The sequence below is a fragment of the Homo sapiens genome, chromosome 1, assembly GCF_000001405.40.
Source record: "Homo sapiens chromosome 1, GRCh38.p14 Primary Assembly".
In the NCBI taxonomy this organism is placed as follows: Eukaryota; Metazoa; Chordata; class Mammalia; order Primates; family Hominidae; genus Homo; species Homo sapiens.
The window spans coordinates 247667903-247688808 of NC_000001.11; the positions used below are offsets into that span (position 1 = coordinate 247667903).

At 35.2% G+C, this 20906-nt stretch overlaps 1 protein-coding gene across 1 annotated transcript, besides 1 other annotated feature; it reads right to left on the minus strand.

Moving 5' to 3' along the window:
- Window positions 2910–11837, minus strand: OR13G1 (olfactory receptor family 13 subfamily G member 1). Its single transcript, NM_001005487.2, has 2 exons — window positions 11738–11837; window positions 2910–5377 (listed from the first exon to the last, which is right to left on the minus strand). Exon 2 carries the CDS (start codon window positions 5137–5139, stop codon window positions 4216–4218), a length of 924 nt encoding a protein of 307 aa, NP_001005487.1. The 5' UTR covers window positions 5140–5377; window positions 11738–11837; the 3' UTR covers window positions 2910–4215.
- Window positions 19589–20190: an enhancer, noted in NCBI's record as "NANOG-H3K27ac-H3K4me1 hESC enhancer chr1:247850793-247851394 (GRCh37/hg19 assembly coordinates)". NCBI's record gives its function as "activates a minimal SCP1, AML or CMV promoter by ChIP-STARR-seq in primed H9 embryonic stem cells {active_cell/tissue: H9 hESC(primed)}" and the evidence as "EXISTENCE:reporter gene assay evidence [ECO:0000049][PMID:30033119]".

The following is a 20906-nucleotide window of genomic DNA, read 5'->3' on the forward strand; positions in this document are numbered from 1 at the left end:
ATTTTCTATTGATATATAGAATGTATACCTACATAGGCGTATAAATTTATAGAAAATACATATACATATAACTTCAGTTATATCTATTTATATGTATATGTATATTTCTATTTGTGTACATTGGGAACTTAACATTTATCAGCCAAAGTAGACTTTTTTTTTTTTTTTAAGTTCTGGGGTACATGTACAGGATGTGCAGGTTTGTTATGTAGGTAAACATGTGCCATGGTGGTTTGCTGCACCTATCAACCCATCACCTAGGTATTAAGACCAGCATGCCTTAGCTTTTTTTCCTGATACTCTCCCTCTCTACGCCACCCTCCACCCAACAGGTCCTAGTGTGTGTTATTCCCTGTAGACTTTTTCAGAATAAATCAGGAACTGTTAGTAGTAATTACACTGGTATAAGATGTTTAAAATAGGCCTGTCTTAGGCTGGGCGCGGTGCCTCACACCTGTAATCTCAGCACTTTGGGAGGCAGAGGCAGGTGGATTACCTGAGGACAGGAGTTTGAGACCAGCCTGGCTAACATAGCGAAACCCTGCCTCTACTAAAAATACAAGAAATTAGCCAGATGTGGTGGTTGGTGCATGTAGTCCCAGCTACTTGGGAGGCTGAGGCAGGAGAATCACTTGAACCCCAGAGGCTGGGTTGCAGTGAGCTGAGATCGTGCCACTGCACTCAAGCCTGGGTGACAGAGTGAGACTCTGTCTCAATAAATAAATAAAATGGTCCTATCTTAAGTAAACTTGGATCTATAACACTTAACTATATTCATACTCATGCTTGTACCCATAGCCATATTTATGTCTACCAATATCTATATTGTGTGTGTCTATATGGTTTATATCTGGCTTTCAACCTGTATTTAATCTAGCTGTAGGTGTTTTCTTTAATTTTTTTCTTTTAATTGTTCATTTACACTTGGAAATTGCTAAGAGAGTGAATCTTAAATGTAATCACAATAAAAGATAATTATGTGAGGTGATGGATATGTAAATTCATTTTGTTTGATAACTTCACAGTTTATACCTATATAAAAGCATCACATTGCATACTATAAATATATGTATATGTGTGTGTGTGTGTGTGTGTGTGGGTGTAAACTATACCTTAAGGCTGGGGGAATAAGCTAAAGTGGTCAACATAACCTATTATATGATAAAGATATATCTATGTTGGAAATTTTTCTGATATTGTTATCAAATATGTAAGATTTAAATGACAGTATTTTCATTATATTATTTGTAACCTGTGTAAATGGAATAAAATACCCATTTATGGCTATCTGGTGAAACTGTTGAGAAGTAAAGCCTGTGCATTGATCACCCTTCTATGTTTGTTGTTATTGATACTTCTCCTTTTTGTTGACATAACATGCTATGACTTCTTCTGTAGTTTTACTTTCAACCTACTTGTTTTGTTACTTTATGTGAGTTTCTCATAGACAGTTTATAGTTCAATTATGTATTTTTATCCAGTGTCCAATCTCTGTCTTTCAATTTGCATATATTATTGCATCATTTACTTTTAAGGTAATCATTAATATGCTACAATTTGTCGACTTTTTAATTTGTTTTGTGTTTGTTTCTTCTGTCTTTTATTTCTCTGCTTTTCATTTATTGATTTTCTGATGTTTTCTTTAAGATTTTTAAGGATTCTAACTTATGTATAGCATTTTTATTACATCACAATGTATAGTTTTTTTATACCAACTAATGTTGTTATAATTTTTCTTTCAACCATAAAATATAATTTAAGGAACTCATGAGAGAAATATAGTATATTGTAATTATTTCTCTTTGTACAAAATTTGTTTTTTCCTGTATGACATTGTGGCTTTCCTATCTCTGTAGAAAACCATATATACTGTACTCTTAAAAATACTAAGAGAGTGGGTATACAGTGTTTCCACCATGAAAATGATAATTATGTGAGGTAATGCATATCATATGTTAATTAACTAAATGTAGTCACTCCACAATGCATCTATACTTCAAAATGTTAGGCTGTAAACAATAATACATAAATTTTATGTCAATTATTTTTGAATTACAAAAAAATGAATGCAAGTTGATCTCAAAAAGATGTCATAAAGAATAAATAAAATGAGAACACAATATCAACAAATTATATGAACCTAACAAAATAGTCTAAAAAATAAACCAATAGTATTCTATTTTCAGAAATATCAAATATGTAAATACCTTAATAAACTTGAAAATGCATGCATTAAACTAATACTGTATACTATACTCTCCCAAAAAAAGAGTGGAGATTATTTACCAGCACATATAAAACAACTTAAAAATGGATAATTTATTTCACCCTAAAAATGAGTCTCAATAAATTCCAAAGGTTCAAAGAATTACAAATATTGTGGAATGTGTAATACATGTATGCACATGTGGATATATGTATATCTGTACATATAGGTATATATATGTGTGAGTGCACATTTGTATGTAAGACCATTATGAAGCTATCTCTAGATTATATTGTTAAGTAAAAAAAAAGTATAATGCAGAAAGGGATTTTTAATATTTGCTTATATTACAGTTATGTTACATATAACATATAATGAAACATTGCATATATACATATATATAACAGTTTATGATATATATAACATATATGTATAACAGTTTATATCCAAGGTTATATAACATATATCTAAGGTTATATATATAACAGTTTATGATATATATAACAACATGACATTACATATACATATACAGTAAAGTTATATATAATATGTTATATATAACATAAGTGTTATATATGTTATATAACATGTTACTAATATATGTCACATATATAAAACAAAATGTTATAATTATAAAACAAAATGTTATACGTGTAAAACATGAAATGTTTTATCATTTTCTTTATCAATTTATCTGATGATGGACACAACTGCTCCAGATGTATTTGTAAGACAAAATTCCAACATGTTTTCATAATTGTGGAAATATATTGTAAAAATATGCTTTACTAATCACAGCAAATGATATATTTCTTCCAACTTGTTATAAGATGTGTTGTATATTGTATATTTTTATTATGTAGCCTCAGTTTTGGCATTCTCACTCTCTCAACCTAACTTTATTTCATGATTTAGTTTGTGACTTCAAATCTGCATTTATGATACATTTGCTAGTAGATACTCATAGCAACTGCCATAGTATAGACACCCATTTCTCATCCCATCTATGTTACATCCAAATTTTTTCAGGGGTGCCAAGTGCCTAATTTTAGAATATACTCTTCCAATTGGTACTTACAACTTGAAATGGTGTAATAATATAGCTATAGCCAATGAGATGTAGCTTATACTTACTGGGTTATCCTTATAAAAATAATAGGCAGTGCTTCATTTGCCTCATGAAATCTCTGTCCTTAGCCTTCATTCTACTTGGGTTATGGATGAGACGCCTAGTAATACAAAAGCCATTCATGATCCTAGGGAAAACAATATTGAAGGGCAGAACAAGATGACTGAAGGTGCCTGTTTCATTGATGGACCCATTGAACCGCCATACACACTATTGACTGCCTGCCTAATGTCAGACTAATGTTGCATGAGGCATAAGTGTACTCACTGGTTTAAAAGGACTGGAGTAATATTCTGTCACTTTTTCCTGAACACATGGAGACTTTAGAGTTTGCCCAATAATTTTATTCAGTAGAGCACGATTTTTCTCCAATGAAATCTAAATAACGTAATGAGGTTCAACCCCAGAGTAGATACCTCATTATCACAATGCTGTAAGTGAATGAACCCAGCCTATTAAGCAAGGGAAAATTTATCACACACACTACTTCTCTCCAGCTCACATTCACATACCAACAAATAAATGGCACAAAATACACAAAATGTTTTGTGATATTTGCATGTATGATGTGCACATGCACATATAGGTAAATATTTGTGTATATGCATATATAAGTATTCGAAGTTATGTACATATTTTTGGAAAATGTTGGAATATATATTATGACATATATTTATGTGAGGGTATTGTGCATATTGCTTTATGAATATTCTTCACATAAAGAGTACAGAATTTTGGAGACAATGAGACTGCTAGGAAGAAGGCAGGAATAAGAGGGAAGGGAAAATTGGAGTGGAGGTAAGTATGAAAAACCAGTAAAATCTGAGATGCTCTAGAAGATGGTTCTGGAGTACAGAAGTGATGTTGCATGTTGAAACTACTAGTGTTTCAGAAATGCAAACACCTTCCTAATTCCTGCCTGCATCTCCCTATTCTGGAAGCTGTACACCATCGGGTTTAATGTGGGAGTCACAAGAGTATAGAGTGCAGCTACCACCTTGTCTCTTTCAAATGTATAGCTGGAAGCAGGGCGGATATAGGTGTAGATTACAGGAGAATAGTAAAGGGTCACCACTGTGAGATGAGATGAGCATGTTGAGAAGGCCTTCCTCTTGCCTTCTACTGTGCGGATACGGAGAATAGCAACAATGATAAAACCATAGGAGATGCAGGTAAGAATAAAGTCCCCTATGGCCAGGGTAATATCAGCAACATACACCATCACCTCATTGATTCTTACAGGGCTACAGGACAAAGCCAGCAATGGGGGTATCTCACAGAAGAAGTGGTCAATGGTGTTTGGCCCACAGAAAGTCAACCTCATGATAAGAGCTGTGTGCACCCAGGAATTGGTGACTGCAATAGCCATGACCATGCTGAGCAAGGCTACACACATATGGTGGTTCATAATAGTACTGTAATGAAGAGGGAAACAAATGGCCACATAGCGGTCATAGGCCATGGTGGTGAAGAGAACCATCTCAGCTCCCAGAGACCATGTGAACAAGAAGAGCTGGGACATGCAGCCTGCATATGAAATGGTATTTTCTGATGTTAGCATGGTCCCCAGCATCTTCGGTATGATGCTTGTTGTGCAGATGATGTCCACAACAGCCAGTGTCAGAAGGAAAACATACATGGGCGTATGCAAGGTGTTGTTATAGATTTTGGCAATGATGATGAGCATGTTGCCGAGAAAAGCCACAAGATAGACAATGAGAAAAAAGAGGAAGATAATTCCCTGGAGTTCAGGCTTTTTGGTGAGGCCCAGAATAATGAACTCAGTTACAACGCTGTGATTCATCCTGCTTGGGTGATTGAATGGCAGTAATTGCACAGAATAAACAACTGAAAATGGAAAGAATCCCTGTGTTGTTAGGAGATAACATGAGGAGTGTGTGTACTTAGGGACTTAATTCTTGATTGGACACAACTTTGCAGCAGGAATTCCCATTTGATGGAGTTCTGTATTCCAGGCAATATACTCTGTTTTCCAGACTAATCCCATTCTCTGATGTATGTTCCTCCATTGATGACTCAAACTGAAGCCAGTGGTTGAGAAGAAAAATATTTTCAAAATGCCTTCAAATATTTTGATATCATTTTCACTTAAAACTTGTCTAAATACACACACACATATATATATATATACACACACATATGTATATATTCTGGATATGCATATATATCCAATGGAGCTGTAATACAAATTATTACATACCTCAATAATTTAGTTAATTGCATGGTACATTTAGGTGTCCTTGAGATATACACGAGCAAAGATACTTGAAATAATACAAGCTGACAGGGCTAATTATAGTGAGGATATTTCAGATGAAAAATGCCCAACCTAGTATTTTGAGGCTGTATATTCATGGGAACATTGACTAATGTATCACAGTCCAAATACTAAACAATTTAATCAAATGTCTGTATTAGTAGTTTTTCATCGGTTTGAGAAGCACATTGCCAAAATTCACTGGACCAGCTATTTGTTTTGCTGTTATATAATGGCAAGATAATTGGATTTAAAAATATAAAATGTAGGGTTGTGTCTTCATTTCATCATAGCTATAGACTGGCCATTTAAGCTCTGTAAGATTTGGATTTATTATTTCTAAACATTGAATAAATTGAAATAAATATCAGATGTTAGAGAGACAGAGCCATGATTTCTAAAGGATACCCAAGCATAAATGGCAACTGGAGTTTTCTGGAAAATAATTTCTAGGACACAAGAAAAATCTGTGTCCTATGTTATTTTCCCCCAAAACTTCCATAGCATTCTGTTTTCTGTTTTCTTTTACTTTCTTTTCTAAAAAAGATGGGGGTCTCATTCTTACCCAGGCTGGTCTCAAACTCCTGACCTCAAGAGATCCTCCTGCCTTGACCTCCCAAACTGCAGGGATTACAGGCATGAGCCACTGCACTTGGTTGCTGTCCGTTTTCTTTTATGCTTATTTATTTTGGTACATTTGTATGCACAGACAGTTACACGAATTCATGGCTTTTGGAACTATTATGATTAGATGAATCTAGTGAAAGTATTCAAAATAGTTGTGAATTTAGTCATAAATTTATGTTTATCAATGTTCTTTAAGTTTTCAGAGATCATATTGTACCTCTGGTATCTAAACAGAGACATAAATAAAAAGTGTTTTTGAGTGTGCGTCCACAAATCTAGTCTGTTTTGCTCTCTCATGCCTTGTAGCCTCAATAATTTGTTAACCAAATTTTAGCTACTGATAAATTCATCTTTAACTCTTTAAACTGGAAGAAAAAAATAGAGCTTTTGTCTAATCCATAATCCATTTCAGAATCTCTAGCTTTAGTATTAATTTACTCATACTGAAGGAATGTTACAGCCACCATTATTTGGGTCTTTGACATGTGACAGGCTCTATGTTAGGTCCTCTGCAGAGATGATACAATTTTGTCCTCACAAGCACATTGAGTCTTTAATATTTTTATCTTTATGTAGTTGATAAGCAAACAATGCATGGGAGTAAAAATAATAGTAGGTAGATTGTGTGTCTCATAAGTGCCAGGATTAACACCTAGATCATCTGACTCCAAAAAATTTGCTATTCACCTTTCTACTATATACTTTCAAGCAAAACACAAAATAATATGGCAAGTGTACACAAAAACTAAGAAATATAAGACAGATCTGAAAGAATATGGATTTTTATTTTGAATACGAGATGATTTGGAAGAGGAAAATATAGACAAGATAGTTGATTCTTAAAATTTAATTCAAATATTAGAATCTTTGAAAGATCTGAACTGAAGTGATATTAACTAATTTAAAAAATACTATGTGTTGAATATGTTTTCAAATAGTAAGCGGTTCTGGTCTGGTCATTTCATCTTAATCATAAATCTGACGTCAAAGCTTCTTGAGATAAATTTATAAGATAACAGACCCCTTTCAGCTTTTTGGTGATCTTAATCACCAAAAACAGGCACTCAAATATAAACTGAGCTTTCATTGTTGAAGAAAAAAGCTTTGTTTTTTTTTTTCTTGGAGAACTGTCACTTATTAATGTAAGTACTGTTATTTATCAATGTTATTTATCCACGTAACTGTTACTGATCAATTTTCCTAAAGCAGGGTATGAAGAAGGAGATCCCAGTCCCAAGTACACAAGGGCAAGTTTCAAAAAATTCTTAAAGTTCACAGGAGATGGAAAAGTGCACCCCTGTTCCACCATCTCTAAGTTAAGAGCAAAGGCAAGGGAACCTGAGGATTCTGTTTCTCTTTTCTTCTTGTAATGTCCTCACCCCCTTCTCTGGAGTTATGACATTGGTTTGCTTGACTTTGTTCTCACTGCGGGTTCCTTGGTTTGGGTGGTTATTGTGTGTGAAGGAGGCTGAACCTGGAATGACACTGTGACACAGTTCACTGTGAGGAGAGGGTATCTACTGACTATGAAAACCTTGTTCAGGATGTCCATCATTGGCTTAAGGTGGAGATATGTACTATTTTCTATCCATAGGTGTCCAAACAGTGGTCAGTAGTTTCTCTTGAAATTCTGCAATTGATGTTAGTCTGACTTGCATGCTACTGTAGGCTCCAAAAAAGCCACAGTATCCAGAAGAAGAGGGCCTGCCTGCATCAGCAGGAAAGTGTCTTTCTCCAGAAATAGAAAGTCTATTTCTATTTGCTGCAAATCAAAAGCCATTTACTCCTGGCCGTGTCCATCCCTGGTCATCTCCTCTGAAATTATCAATTCAGCTCTAGTAATTATGTTTAATCTAGCTTAGATTTTCTATTGATCAAAATCTGGAGGCAAGAAAAATCAGTGAAATTTAGTTTGAATCATTATAATACATATGGCCTAATCTTGACCCTGTCTGTGACCTTCCATTTTTAAGACATTCTTCAAGCCTCAGTCCATCCCCATTGGTTAAATGGAGATAACAGTAGTAAACTCACCGAGATTCTTTGAGGATTAAATAATGAATATGAATCTTTAGCCCTATTCTGGGGACTTATTGAGCTACCAATCAAAGGTAAAAATAATTATTATTTAGAGTTCCAAATATATAATTTTGAAAAATCATGTTTTAGTATGTGAGTATTCAGTCGTTAATAATGAGGGAGTTTTTTACTATTTAATGGAAGAAATTTCCAGAAATGTATTTGAAAAGATTGAATAAATATTATAATAATTTAAGAATAACCAGATTGGGTTAGGGCAATAAAAGATAATTCAATTAATTCTATAATAATTATAATAAAGGTGACTTTATTCATTAAATATTTAAAGGCCACAGTTTATGCTAATCATTATGCTATTAGATTATGACGATGTAGAAAATGTAATATACATTCTCAGTTATTTCAGCATCAGTGATAAAACAATGAACAATAAACTAATATTCTTTGGGACCATGAGAAAATCATTGGAGTTATAAAACAATTTTATATAGTAACATAGCACACTTAATTTGGTCTTGGATAAAATAATGAAAATACTAACCAAAAACATGAGTGTGATATCTGAAACCCTAGCACCCGTGATTTTTATTGCTTAGTCAATATTCCTTTATATTTACCATTTATACTGTTCTTCTTTCTCCTGCATATCTTCCCTTATATGGGACAATTTTTATTCTCATGAATAACTCTGCTTTTAGTCCACAGGAATGTGGTATTGTCTCCAAAAGTAAGCAGGTTTTGAGGAGTGCGATTGGAAAGGGAAGAGGAAAGAGAAGATAAATTCCAATAAAACTGGCCTGGTGTGTGGTTCACACCTGTAGTCCCAGCACTTTGGCAGGCTGGGGTGGGCAGATGGCTTGAGCCCAGGAGTTTGAAACCAGCCTTGGTAACATAGTGAGACCTCGTTTCTACAAAAAATACAAAAATTAGCCGGCCTGTAATCCCAGCTACTTGGGACGCTGAGGCAGGAGAATCGCTGGAGCCTGGGAGGCGGAGGTTGCAGTGAGCCGAGATTGTGCCACTGCACTGCAGCCTGGGTGACAGAGCCAGACCCTGTCATAATGAAATAAAAATAAAAATAAGAAAAGATAGGACTACTTGAGATTATTATATTCTAAGGTAAGGAATTATTTTGTTGTTAAGTAGTCGATAAGGGAGAAATTTTAGATTTCTGAGAGAGGAAGTAGTATGTGACATACCCCAGTTTTAGAAAGCCAGCCCTGAAGGCATCATAGAGGATGAATTCAGAGGGAGACAGTATTTGTCCATCTTAAATGGAGACTGTGTTTACAGGCACCACCTGGTTTGTAGAACATTATCAATTTAAGTTTAACAATAGGATTTATTTATAATAATGAATTGCCAGAATAAAATGAAAGTGATATAGAATTGCCAGAATAAAATGAAAGTGATATAAAACTACATACAGAAAAAACTTAGACCATTTTGTCTGGCAGGATGCAGTGCACTGCCAAATAAACACTGGCAACCTTTTCCTGGAAGGAGTGAATTGAGGTCACATTCTGTTTACTTACTTTAGAACACCAAACATTTACTAATAATACACAATGATGCTTGATTTATGTGCCATTCACCATGCTATTTTGCTGAATCATGAGGATAAGTTTAAGAATTAATAGGGCCGGGTGCGGTGGCTCACGCCTGTAATCCCAGCACTTTGGGAGGCCAAGACGGGCGCATCACCTGAGGTTGGGAGTTTGAGACCAGCCTGACTAACATGGAGAAACCCCATCTCTAATAAAAATACAAAATTAGCTGGGCATGGTGGCACATGCCTGTAATCCAGCTACTCAAGAGGCTGAGGCAGGAGAATTGCTTGAACCTGGGAGGCGGAGGTTTCAGTGAGCCGAGATCGCGCCATTGCACTCCGACCTGGGCAACAAGAGCGAAACTCTGTCTCAAAAAAAATTAATAATATTTATGTCACTATTTTACATATGAAGTAGTTGGTGAAATTTGGTAGTTATCAAATGTGCTTATTGTCACACAGTCAGACACTGGCGACATGGAAATCTGAATCCAGGGAGTCTAATGACAAAATTCACTCATGTTGCATTTTATAAGCCAATGTTATACCTATGTCAACTCCAACAGCACAGTTTATTCTTATGTATCCATTACATCATTATCATCATCTCCGTCTTCAAGTATTTTCATCTTCATTGTCATAATAAACAATATCGGCACACGTTTAAAGGGCCTATGTTGTCTAAGGCAAGGTACTAAGAACTCCCCACAGCAGCCACTGTGTTTTATGGGGACAGAGTGATACAAATTTCCTCGTACTCTCATATTCCTGAATGACTTCTGTCAGACAGTTTCATTCTAGGCCACTTTCTATTAGGTAGGGCTACGTCAGAGGTGATTCTAGTTCAAGCATCGTTTAAGGAGAATGTTACATTCTCTTCAGCTTAGCTTCACTGTTGAAGTACTAGAAAAGAAGTGAAAGTAGCTACTTCTTAATTTTCTAGGTTTCGAAGTGATCAGAGAGGTAGGAAAGGAAGATCAGTGTGAAGGCAGTATAATAAATTGTAAAAAGAGAAAAGGTGGCGGAGATTAAGGAGAGTCAATACCTGCATACAAATCATGGCCCTACCCTACAAAGGATAATCAACCACTTGGTTAGCCAGGGATTGTCCAAGTTTTGCCACTGAAAGACCCACATCCTAGGAGACCTGTCAGTCTCAGGCAACCTGGGAAAGTTGGTCACCCTAGGACATCTGAAGCCAATGCAATTCCTGTCTGAAAGCATTTTATTCTCTATGTTTGGGAAGACATTATTTTTCACATTTACATTGTTTTCTAAGTTTTGGAAGAAATCTTTTTTTTTTTAAATTCAACTCTGAACATGCCACTCACCATTTTATAGAGTCTGTCACAGATTCTTATATATGTAGGTAGAATATGAACACTAAATGAGTAAATGAAACCCTTGTAAGGTTCTATTTTTGAGAGGCGTTTTAAGCAGCTTGGAGCATCCTGATACAATGAGAAGTTTTGCAAGCTAATTCTTAAACTATTTAGCTAAGTCTTTATGATAATTAAAGAAAGGACATATTCTAAAACAATTTCTCATACATGTCAAGCATTCCCATAACTTGGTAAAGTATGTTAACCTAAATTTAGTTGACTGTCTTTTAAACTCCAACTTTTGCATATTTGATATGAAAGGAAAAATTTTGAAAGGCTGGCAGGCAATATAAATACTTGCATCATCAGTATTTTGATACATTGATAGCATAAAATCCCCTGTTTTGAATTAAAGTACAATCCGCGGATGGATTGTGTGTGTGTGTGTGTGTGTGTGTGTGTGTGTGTGTGTGCGCGCTATGGCTAAAAAGGAATTAAATATGTTACCTGGCTCAAAAATATCCCTACTCAGGCCATGATTTTATGGTAAACTTAAGAATTAGACAGTCTGCCCACAAATACTCACTGTAGTTTTTTGCAGAGTATTGTCATGTTCAAATGGTGACCTGTATTAAATCACTGTAAAAAACTAAAAGTACAGTAGCTCTTGCCAGTTTGCTATCAAATGAGCTCTTTCATGCTTGCTTTAGTATTGGTTTATTTATACTTAAGATCAATGAAAAGCATGGTTCCTGACTCAAGGACAAGGGACCCCAAGGAAGAGCATCTTGAAGTGATTTGCTATTAGTTACATTAAAATGTATCCCAGAGGAACAGTTTTTAAAACCCTGAACTAATTACCAATTATGATGTTCAATCACTTGGTCTTTGTGTGTCAACCTTTTTCTGTGAAGACCAAAAGGTATCCCGAGATAATGTCTTCATGGAGTAGGAAACCTGAATAATGAGACACAGTGGAAATGCTGGTGGGAGATTTAAAGAATAAATGGATGGACATTGTTATAAAAGCAATTACATCTGCTTCGGAGATCTTCTCCCAATATAAACTTAGACAGTGTTAAAAGAAAAATCTTAGACAAGTTAAATTTAACAGAGTTCATTTGAGCAGAGAAAATAAAAAATATTTATGAACCAGATAACATTCAGGACCAAAAGCAGTGCAGAGAGCTTCATCCTACAAGGCGTTGCAGGCAATATTTATAGCTGGAGAAATGGAAATGACATGCGGAAATAACTTGATTGACTAGAGTTCTGTGTTTGCTTTATTTGGATGTTTTGGCAGGTTTCGGCCTACAGTTGGCTGAAGGTTAGGCTGCTATGATTCGCTGAGATTTTGCTACTTGTTATAATGTATGCTCTGAAGTTAGGTTGCAGGTTGTTTACACATTAAGTTAGGTTACAGTTTACCATGTACACAGGCAGATTTAGGACAAACAGTTCAATTTAATAAGAGGAAGAGTGGTAGGAAATGAATTCCAAGATGAAGGTTAAAGCAAAGTTTGTCATTTAGTCCTCTACTCTGTGCAGGCCTGGAGGATCTTACAAATAAAATATGAAATGCAATTTGGTTTTCATTTGTTTAATGTAACACGCAAACCCTTCAGCTAAATTTCTTTCTGAATTGTTTGAAAAACTGTTCTGTACATCCTTTTGCTGTTTATGCATACCCAAACACAAATGCAACTCATCTGTGTGATGTACGCATAATGAAATAACATTGTCTCTATCCCTCTTGCTGAATAGCCTCATAGTTTGAAATGTTCATTAGAATTCAAACACACATTTACATGTTTACCATGTATTTCTTTCTCCTATTTGTTTATCTTAAAGAAAAGTTACATGGGTAAATATCAGATCACTTTAACAGCTTTTTAAAGCTTCCAGACAGTGATCTAAATGCTTATTTCACATTTATTGTAAGCATAGTATTACTAAATATTAGTTAAGTATATCAAACTATCAATATGAGAGCAAGTAAGGGGCAGGAATTATATGTAGTTGTCATCACACGGCCAAATAGAAATTAATCATTTGCCTTTAAAGAGTGTTTGCTGTTGAGCCAGTTGACATAATTTATCTTGCTTTAGTAATATTCTTTACAGGTAAAATAACCTACTCATTTCCACAATGATAAAACATTGTTGTTTTATCGCTTTGAACAAGTACATTAAAATAATACAGAACAGTTGAAGATGTGATGACTGCACAATGAACCAGAATAACATTGAATTAAATGTATTCGTAAATGGGTGGAGAGGAGGTATTTGGTGGAAAAAAAAAAAGCTGAAATACTTGAGCCAATTAAGTCCCTTGACTCCAAACCCATCCCTACGCACTCAGATCTTGGATGCTGGATTGGGTGAACCCTACAACCACATCGCTGTTAGCGTGTTGGCACCTCATGAACTCTGCCAGTAGGGGGCAATAGAGGTAAACTGTAAGACTAGAGGAGAAAAAACAGGTCCCTTCCCTGTTTGCTTCTCCTGGTCTTTTTGGTGAAGTTCTAGAACTTCTAGTATTTTGACTTTTGATTTTAAATACCCCAGGATGATTGGAATTTGCCTTATTCTTATTTTCAGTCTGTCAAATTAAGTCATGTATCATTAGAAGCAATACTGTTGTATGCGCCAGAGAACTGGTTTTATGATCTATTTGTAGTAGAAGGGCTGCCTTGTCATTATCAAAGGTTACTCTTCAGAAAAGTTGCTTGCCTTATTAGCTATGTATTCTAATAGCATAACGACTATACCAACTTTGTTTTGTTTAATTTTTCATGGTATATATTTTTCCATCTTCATTTTGGGTGTTTTCTTCGTGTTCATTTGAGAATGTGTTAAGTGTAATACAGTTTTGTTTTTTAACAAAATCAGTCAGTCTTTATGCTTTAATTTCAGCACTTTAGTTGCCTTTAATTTAATTTCAGACACATTTGTGTTTGCTTTATGAATATATTATTGTTATTTGGCTCATCTATGTTCTTTCTCCCTGTTTTATCTTACTTTATCTTATTTTATTCCACATTTCCATCTATGAGGTGAGTAGTCATGCATTTCTACACCGATTTGAGTGTTTATGCATTTTTGACTTATTATGGTCAAGTAGAAATTACTTATTTTACCACTTTCTAGAGACACTGTGCTTTTAGAACACTAACTACTTTAGTCCCTTCTTTGTATTGTTTTTATAATGGATTATAATTAAACGCATATCTCAAACCCCACCACCCATAACTTTTATTGTTTAATCAGTCTGTATTCCTTTGCATGTGCTCTTATATTGCTTTTTTCATTGTTCTTCCACTCTCCTGCCCATTTTTCCCATTTGGGCCATTTTCTTCTGCCTGCATAACTCTTCTTTTAATGCAAACCTACAGGTTTGCTGACAAGAAATTCTCTCATTCTTTTATGTATTAAAATTTTTTGTTGGTATTAGTTTTGGAAATTATGTTTTCTGGGTATATGATTTTACGTTGACTATTGTTTTATTTAGCACATTAAAGATATACCTAAATTGTCTTATAGCATTCACAGTTTATGTTGAAAAGTCAACTGTCAGTAGTATTGTTGCTTATTTGAACAAAATGTCTTCTTTTCCTCTTATTGCGGCATTTAAGCTTATCTTTAGTTTTAGCAATTTTAGTGTGATGTCTCTAGGATATGATTGAACTTTTATCTTGCTTGAAGCTTGCCAATAATATTTATCTGTGGGTATCATTATTTATGCTGCTTCTGCCCCCCTTTTTAAATCTGTGTTCCTCCCAGGGTGAAAATAACATGCATGCTAGAACTTTTCACTATGGTTTTTATCTTACGTGTTGTACCTTCCAATTATGTTTCTTCTCTTTAAATATTTTTTATTAACTCATATTCAAGCAAGTAATCAGATCGTCTACTGGATCTAACATTCCGTCAATCCCAAACTATTAGCTGTTAACTTCAGGTAGAGTATTTCATGCTTTTATAATTCTATTGAATATTAATTTTAGACATATGTATTTACTTCTAATATTTCTAGTTTTTCTATCTGCATCTTTTCATCTCTCATCTCTATTTTCATCTCATATTCTCTTCAACATATTAATAATAGCCATATTATTTTATTTGTTTATTGTTGATTCATCAAACTTTTATTAAATAAAATTTACTGTATTGTAAAAAGGGAATTTGGGGTAGTTTCTTCAATGGCACAGTTATACAAGGTAGCTGCAGACTGATCTCTAGATCTTTTTTTTCCATTTTTCGAATTTTCTTTGCCTATTTCCCAATCTCTTATCCCCTGAACACACACAGACACACACACACACATCCCTACACACTTTGTGTCCCTTTATGGGGACACACTTACAATAGTCACTTACTATGCAAGTTTACAAGTTTATGGCTAGGGAGGACACTGAAGAACAAATGCTTTTATATACCTTTAGTGGGCTTTTTTCCACATTTTTCAAGAACACAAGACATTGCTATTAACTATGGTCACCGTGTTCTACAATATATTTCTTTAATTCATTCCTTCTATCCAACTGGAATTTTTCATCCTTTGACAAGTATCTCCCCAGCTGCCTCCCCACCACACCACCACTACTATCCTAGCCTCTGGTAATCAACACGTTACTCTCTTTTTCTGTGAATTTGACTTTTTACGCTCCACATGTAAGTGAAGTCATGAGCTATTTGTCTTTATGTGCTTGGCTTTTCTCACTTAACGTAATGCTCTCCAGGTTTATCCATTCTGTTGCAAATGACAGGACCCTTTAATGGCTGAATGGTATTCTCTTGTGTACATATACCATATTTTCTTACCCATTCATCTATGATGGACACTTAGGTTGACTCTGTATCTTGACTATTCTGAATAATACTGCAGTGAATACAGAAGTGCAGATATATTTTTGACTTAGTGATTCAATTTCTTTTATGCACACTCAGTAGTATGATAGCAGAATCATATAGTAGTTTTATTTTTAACTTTTCGAGGAATCTTCATAATGGCTGTACTAATTTTGTATTTCTAAAAACAGTGTGCAAGAGATCCCTTTTTACCATATCTTCACCTTATCTTTCGTATTCTTGATAATAGCCATTCTAACAGATGTGAAGGTGATATCATTGTGGTTTCAATCTTCATTCCCCTTCATGCTTAATAATGTTGAACAGTTTCTCATATATCAATTGGCCATATGCATGACTTCTTTTGAGTGATATCTATTCAGATCCTTGGACCATTTTTTAACTGAGTTATTTGTTTTTTTCTTTTTCACTATAGAATTATTTGAGTTACTTAGATATTTTTGGCTTTAACCTCTTATCAAATGTATGATTTTCAAATAGTTTTTTCCATTTCATAGGTTGTCTCTTCACTGCTGATTGTTTCCTCTGCTGTTTACAAGCTTTGTAGCTTGATGCAATCACATTTATTTTTGTTTTTGTTGTTTGCAATTTTAGGATCAAATCCAAGAAAGTCATTGCCAAGACCAATTTCATGGCACTTTTCTCTTATGTTTTCTTTTTGTACTTTTACTGTTTTAACTTTTACCTTTGTGAGTATAATCTATTTTGAATTAATTTTTGCTTACAGTGTAAGATAAGGCTCTAACTTGATTCTTTTGCATATGGATATCTAGTTTTCTCAGCAACATTTATTGAAGAGACCGCCCTTTCCCCATTGTGTGTTGTTGACATATTTGTCAAAAATCAATTGGCTATAAATACATGTATTTATTGCTGGGCTCTCTATTCTGCCCCATTGATCTGTTTGTTTTTATGTCAGTAAGTTGTTGTTTGGATGACTATAGCTTTGTAGGAGATATCAGAGTAATACTGACCTTGCAAAATGAGTTTAAAGTAATTTCTTTCTATTCCAATTTTGTAATTGTTTGAGAATAATTGTTACTAATGTTTTCCTTAAATGTTTGATAGAATTCAGCATTGAAGCCATTTGATCTTGACATTCTTTTTTTGATGGGAGATTTTTACCACTGATTCAACGTCCTTATTCACTATTGGTGTGCTCAGATTTTTTTTTTTTTTAATAATACCGTTGTGGTAGGTTTTATGTGTTTAATAATTTGTTCATTTCCTGTAGGTGTTCCAATTAGTTGACTTATAATAGTTAATGACAGTATTTTATGATCCTTCATATTTCTGTGGCATCAGTTGTGTAAGGTCTTTTTTAATCTTTTATTTTATTGAGTCTTGTCTTTTGTTTCTAAGTTATTTTGTCTATTTTTTCAAAAAAATTATTTTTTTCATTGCTCTTTTGTAACGTTTTGTCTCTATTTTGCTTATTTCTGCCCTAACCTTTATTGTTTCTTTTCTTTTAATAATTTTCAATGAAGTTTGTTCTTATTTTTCTATTTACTTGTGGTGCAATATTAGGTTGTTTACTTAAGATCTTACTTTTTTGATGCAGGTGTTTATTGGCATAAATTGAATTTTGAGAACTGATTTTCCTACATCCCAAGATTTTGATATGTTGTATTTTTTTATTTGTCTCAAAAATGTTTTTAATTTGCCTTTTAATTTCATCATTTACCGATTGGTTGTTCAGAAGCATTTTGTTCAGTTTCCATGTATTAGTAAACTTTCCAAAGTTCCTCCTCTTGTTGATTCATAGTTTTATATAATAAAATACACTATAAATTTTAATCTTGTTAAATCTGTTAAGACTTGTTACGTGGCTTGATGTATGATCTATTCTAGGGAATGTTCCATGTGCAATTGAGAAGCATGTGTATTCTGCAGCTGTTGGATGGAATGTTCTGTAAACATCTGCTAGGTCCATTTGGTCTAGAGTGCAGTTTAGTTCTGGTAGATTTTACGTATCTAGGAATTTCTTCATTTCTCCTAGCTTATCCAATTTGTTGGTGTTTTCTTGTTCGTAAGTGTCTCTTATGTCCTCTGTATTTCTCTGGTATCAGTAGTAATGTCTCATTTCTATTTCTATGTCTCATTTTTATTTCTATTTTATTTGAGTCTTTCATGAGGCTGTTTGTCAATTTGTTTATCTTTTAAAAACAATAACTCTTAATTTTGTTGCTCTTTTCCATTTTTTGTCTCTTTTATTTAAATCTGCTCTGAATCTTATTTCTCTCTCTCTCTCTCTTTTTTTTCTCTAACTCTAGGCCTAATGTGTTATTTTTTCCAGTTCTTTGAAGTGTAATTTTATGTCTTTTTTTATTTGGGAGCCTCTTTCTTTTTAGATGTAGGCTTTTTTTTTGCTATAAACTTTTGTCTTATTACTGCATTTTTAAATCCCATACATTTTGGTATCTTGTATACTCATTTTGTTTGTCTCAAGATATTTTTAATATCCCTTTTATTTTCTATTTGAACCGCTGGTTGTTTCAAAACATGGTGTTGAATTTCCATATATTTGTGAATTTTCTGATATTTATTCTCTTCCTGATTTCTAGTTTTATATTGTGTACTCATGAGAAATGCTTGATAGTATTTCAGTCTTTTAAAATGCTAAGGCTTGTGTTGTGGCTAAACACATGATATGTCCTGTAAAGGGTTTCATGTGTGCTTGAGAATAATGTGTATTCTTCTGCTATTGAATACATAATATACATTCTGTATAAGTGTGTTATAATTTAATCTAAATTGTAGTTCATGTCCAATGTTTTCTTATTGATTTTCTTGGTGGATAATGTATCCATTGTTAAAAGGGAGTAGAGAAGTCCCCTGCTCTTATTATATGGCAGTTTATCTATTTCTTTATATGTACTAATATTTGCAGATCTGATAATATTAATATTTTACCAGAAGGTGGGAAGGGAGGAGAGGTGAAGAGAAGTTGCTTACTGGGTACAAAAATACAGTTAGATAGAATATATTCTACTGTTTGTAGCACAGTATGGTGACTGTAGTTAGCAAAAATTAATTGTATATTTCAAAATAGCTAGAAGTGAAGATTTAAATGTTTCCAACAAGGGAAATGATCAATCTTTGAGGTGATGGATATTCTAATTACCCTGATTTGATAATCACACATTGTATGCATGTATCACAGTGCCAATATGAACCCTATAAATATGTACAGTTACAGTTATACTTTGATAAAGATACTGCAAAAGTTAAAAAATGAAAAGAAAGATCGAGGAGGAGCCAAGATGGCCGAATAGGAACAGCTCCGGTCTACAGCTCCCAGCGTGAGCGACGCAGAAGACGGGTGATTTCTGCATTTCCATCTGAGGTACCGGGTTCATCTCAATAGGGAGTGCCAGACAGTGGGCGCAGGCCAGTGTGTGTGCGCACCGTGCGCAAGCCGAAGCAGGGCGAGGCATTGCCTCACCTGGGAAGTGCAAGGGGTCAGGGAGTTCCCTTTCCGAGTCAAAGAAAGGGGTGACGGACGTACCTGGAAAATCGGGTCACTCCCACCCGAATATTGCGCTTTTCAGACTGGCTTAAGAAACGGCGCACCACGAGACTATATCCCACACCTGGCTCAGAGGGTCCTACGCCCACGGAATCTCGCTGATTGCTAGCACAGCAGTCTGAGATCAAACTGCAAGGCGGCAACGAGGCTGGGGGAGGGGCGCCCGCCATTGCCCAGGCTTGCTTAGGTAAACAAAGCAGCCGGGAAGCTCGAACTGGGTGGAGCCCACCACAGCTCAAGGAGGCCTGCCTGCCTCTGTAGGCTCCACCTCTGGGGGCAGGGCACAGACAAACAAAAAGACAGCAGTAACCTCTGCAGACTTAAGTGTCCCTGTCTGACAGCTTTGAAGAGAGCAGTGGTTCTCCCAGCACGCAGCTGGAGATCTGAGAACGGGCAGACTGCCTCCTCAAGTGGGTCCCTGACCCCTGACCCCCGAGCAGCCTAACTGGGAGGCACCCCCCAGCAGGGGCACACTGACACCTCACACGGCAGGGTATTCCAACAGACCTGCAGCTGAGGGTCCTGTCTGTTAGAAGGAAAACTAACAACCAGAAAGGACATCTACACCGAAAACCCATCTGTACATCACCATCATCAAAGACCAAAAGTAGATAAAACCACAAAGATGGGGAAAAAACAGAACAGAAAAACTGGAAACTCTAAAATGCAGAGCGCCTCTCCTCCTCCAAAGGAACGCAGTTCCTCACTAGCAACAGAACAAAGCTGGATGGAGAATGATTTTGACGAGCTGAGAGAAGAAGGCTTCAGACGATCAAATTACTCTGAGCTACGGGAGGACATTCAAACCAAAGGCAAAGAAGTTGAAAACTTTGAAAAAAATTTAGAAGAATGTATAACTAGAATAACCAATACAGAGAAGTGCTTAAAGGAGCTGATGGAGCTGAAAACCAAGGCTCGAGAACTACGTGAAGAATGCAGAAGCCTCAGGAGCCGATGCGATCAACTGGAAGAAAGGGTATCAGCAATGGAAGATGAAATGAATGAAATGAAGCGAGAAGGGAAGGTTAGAGAAAAAAGAATAAAAAGAAATGAGCAAAGCCTCCAAGAAATATGGGACTATGTGAAAAGACCAAATCTACGTCTGATTGGTGTACCTGAAAGTGATGTGGAGAATGGAACCAAGTTGGAAAACACTCTGCAGGATATTATCCAGGAGAACTTCCCCAATCTAGCAAGGCAGGCCAACGTTCAGATTCAGGAAATACAGAGAACGCCACAAAGATACTCCTCGAGAAGAGCAACTGCAAGACACATAATTGTCAGATTCACCAAAGTTGAAATGAAGGAAAAAATGTTAAGGGCAGCCAGAGAGAAAGGTCGGGTTACCCTCAAAG

What these genes read in the sequence shown, in the direction of transcription:
- OR13G1 (NM_001005487.2), bottom strand. Translation starts at nt 5,139, where the DNA reads ATGAATCACAGCGTTGTAACTGAGTTCATTATTCTGGGCCTCACCAAA.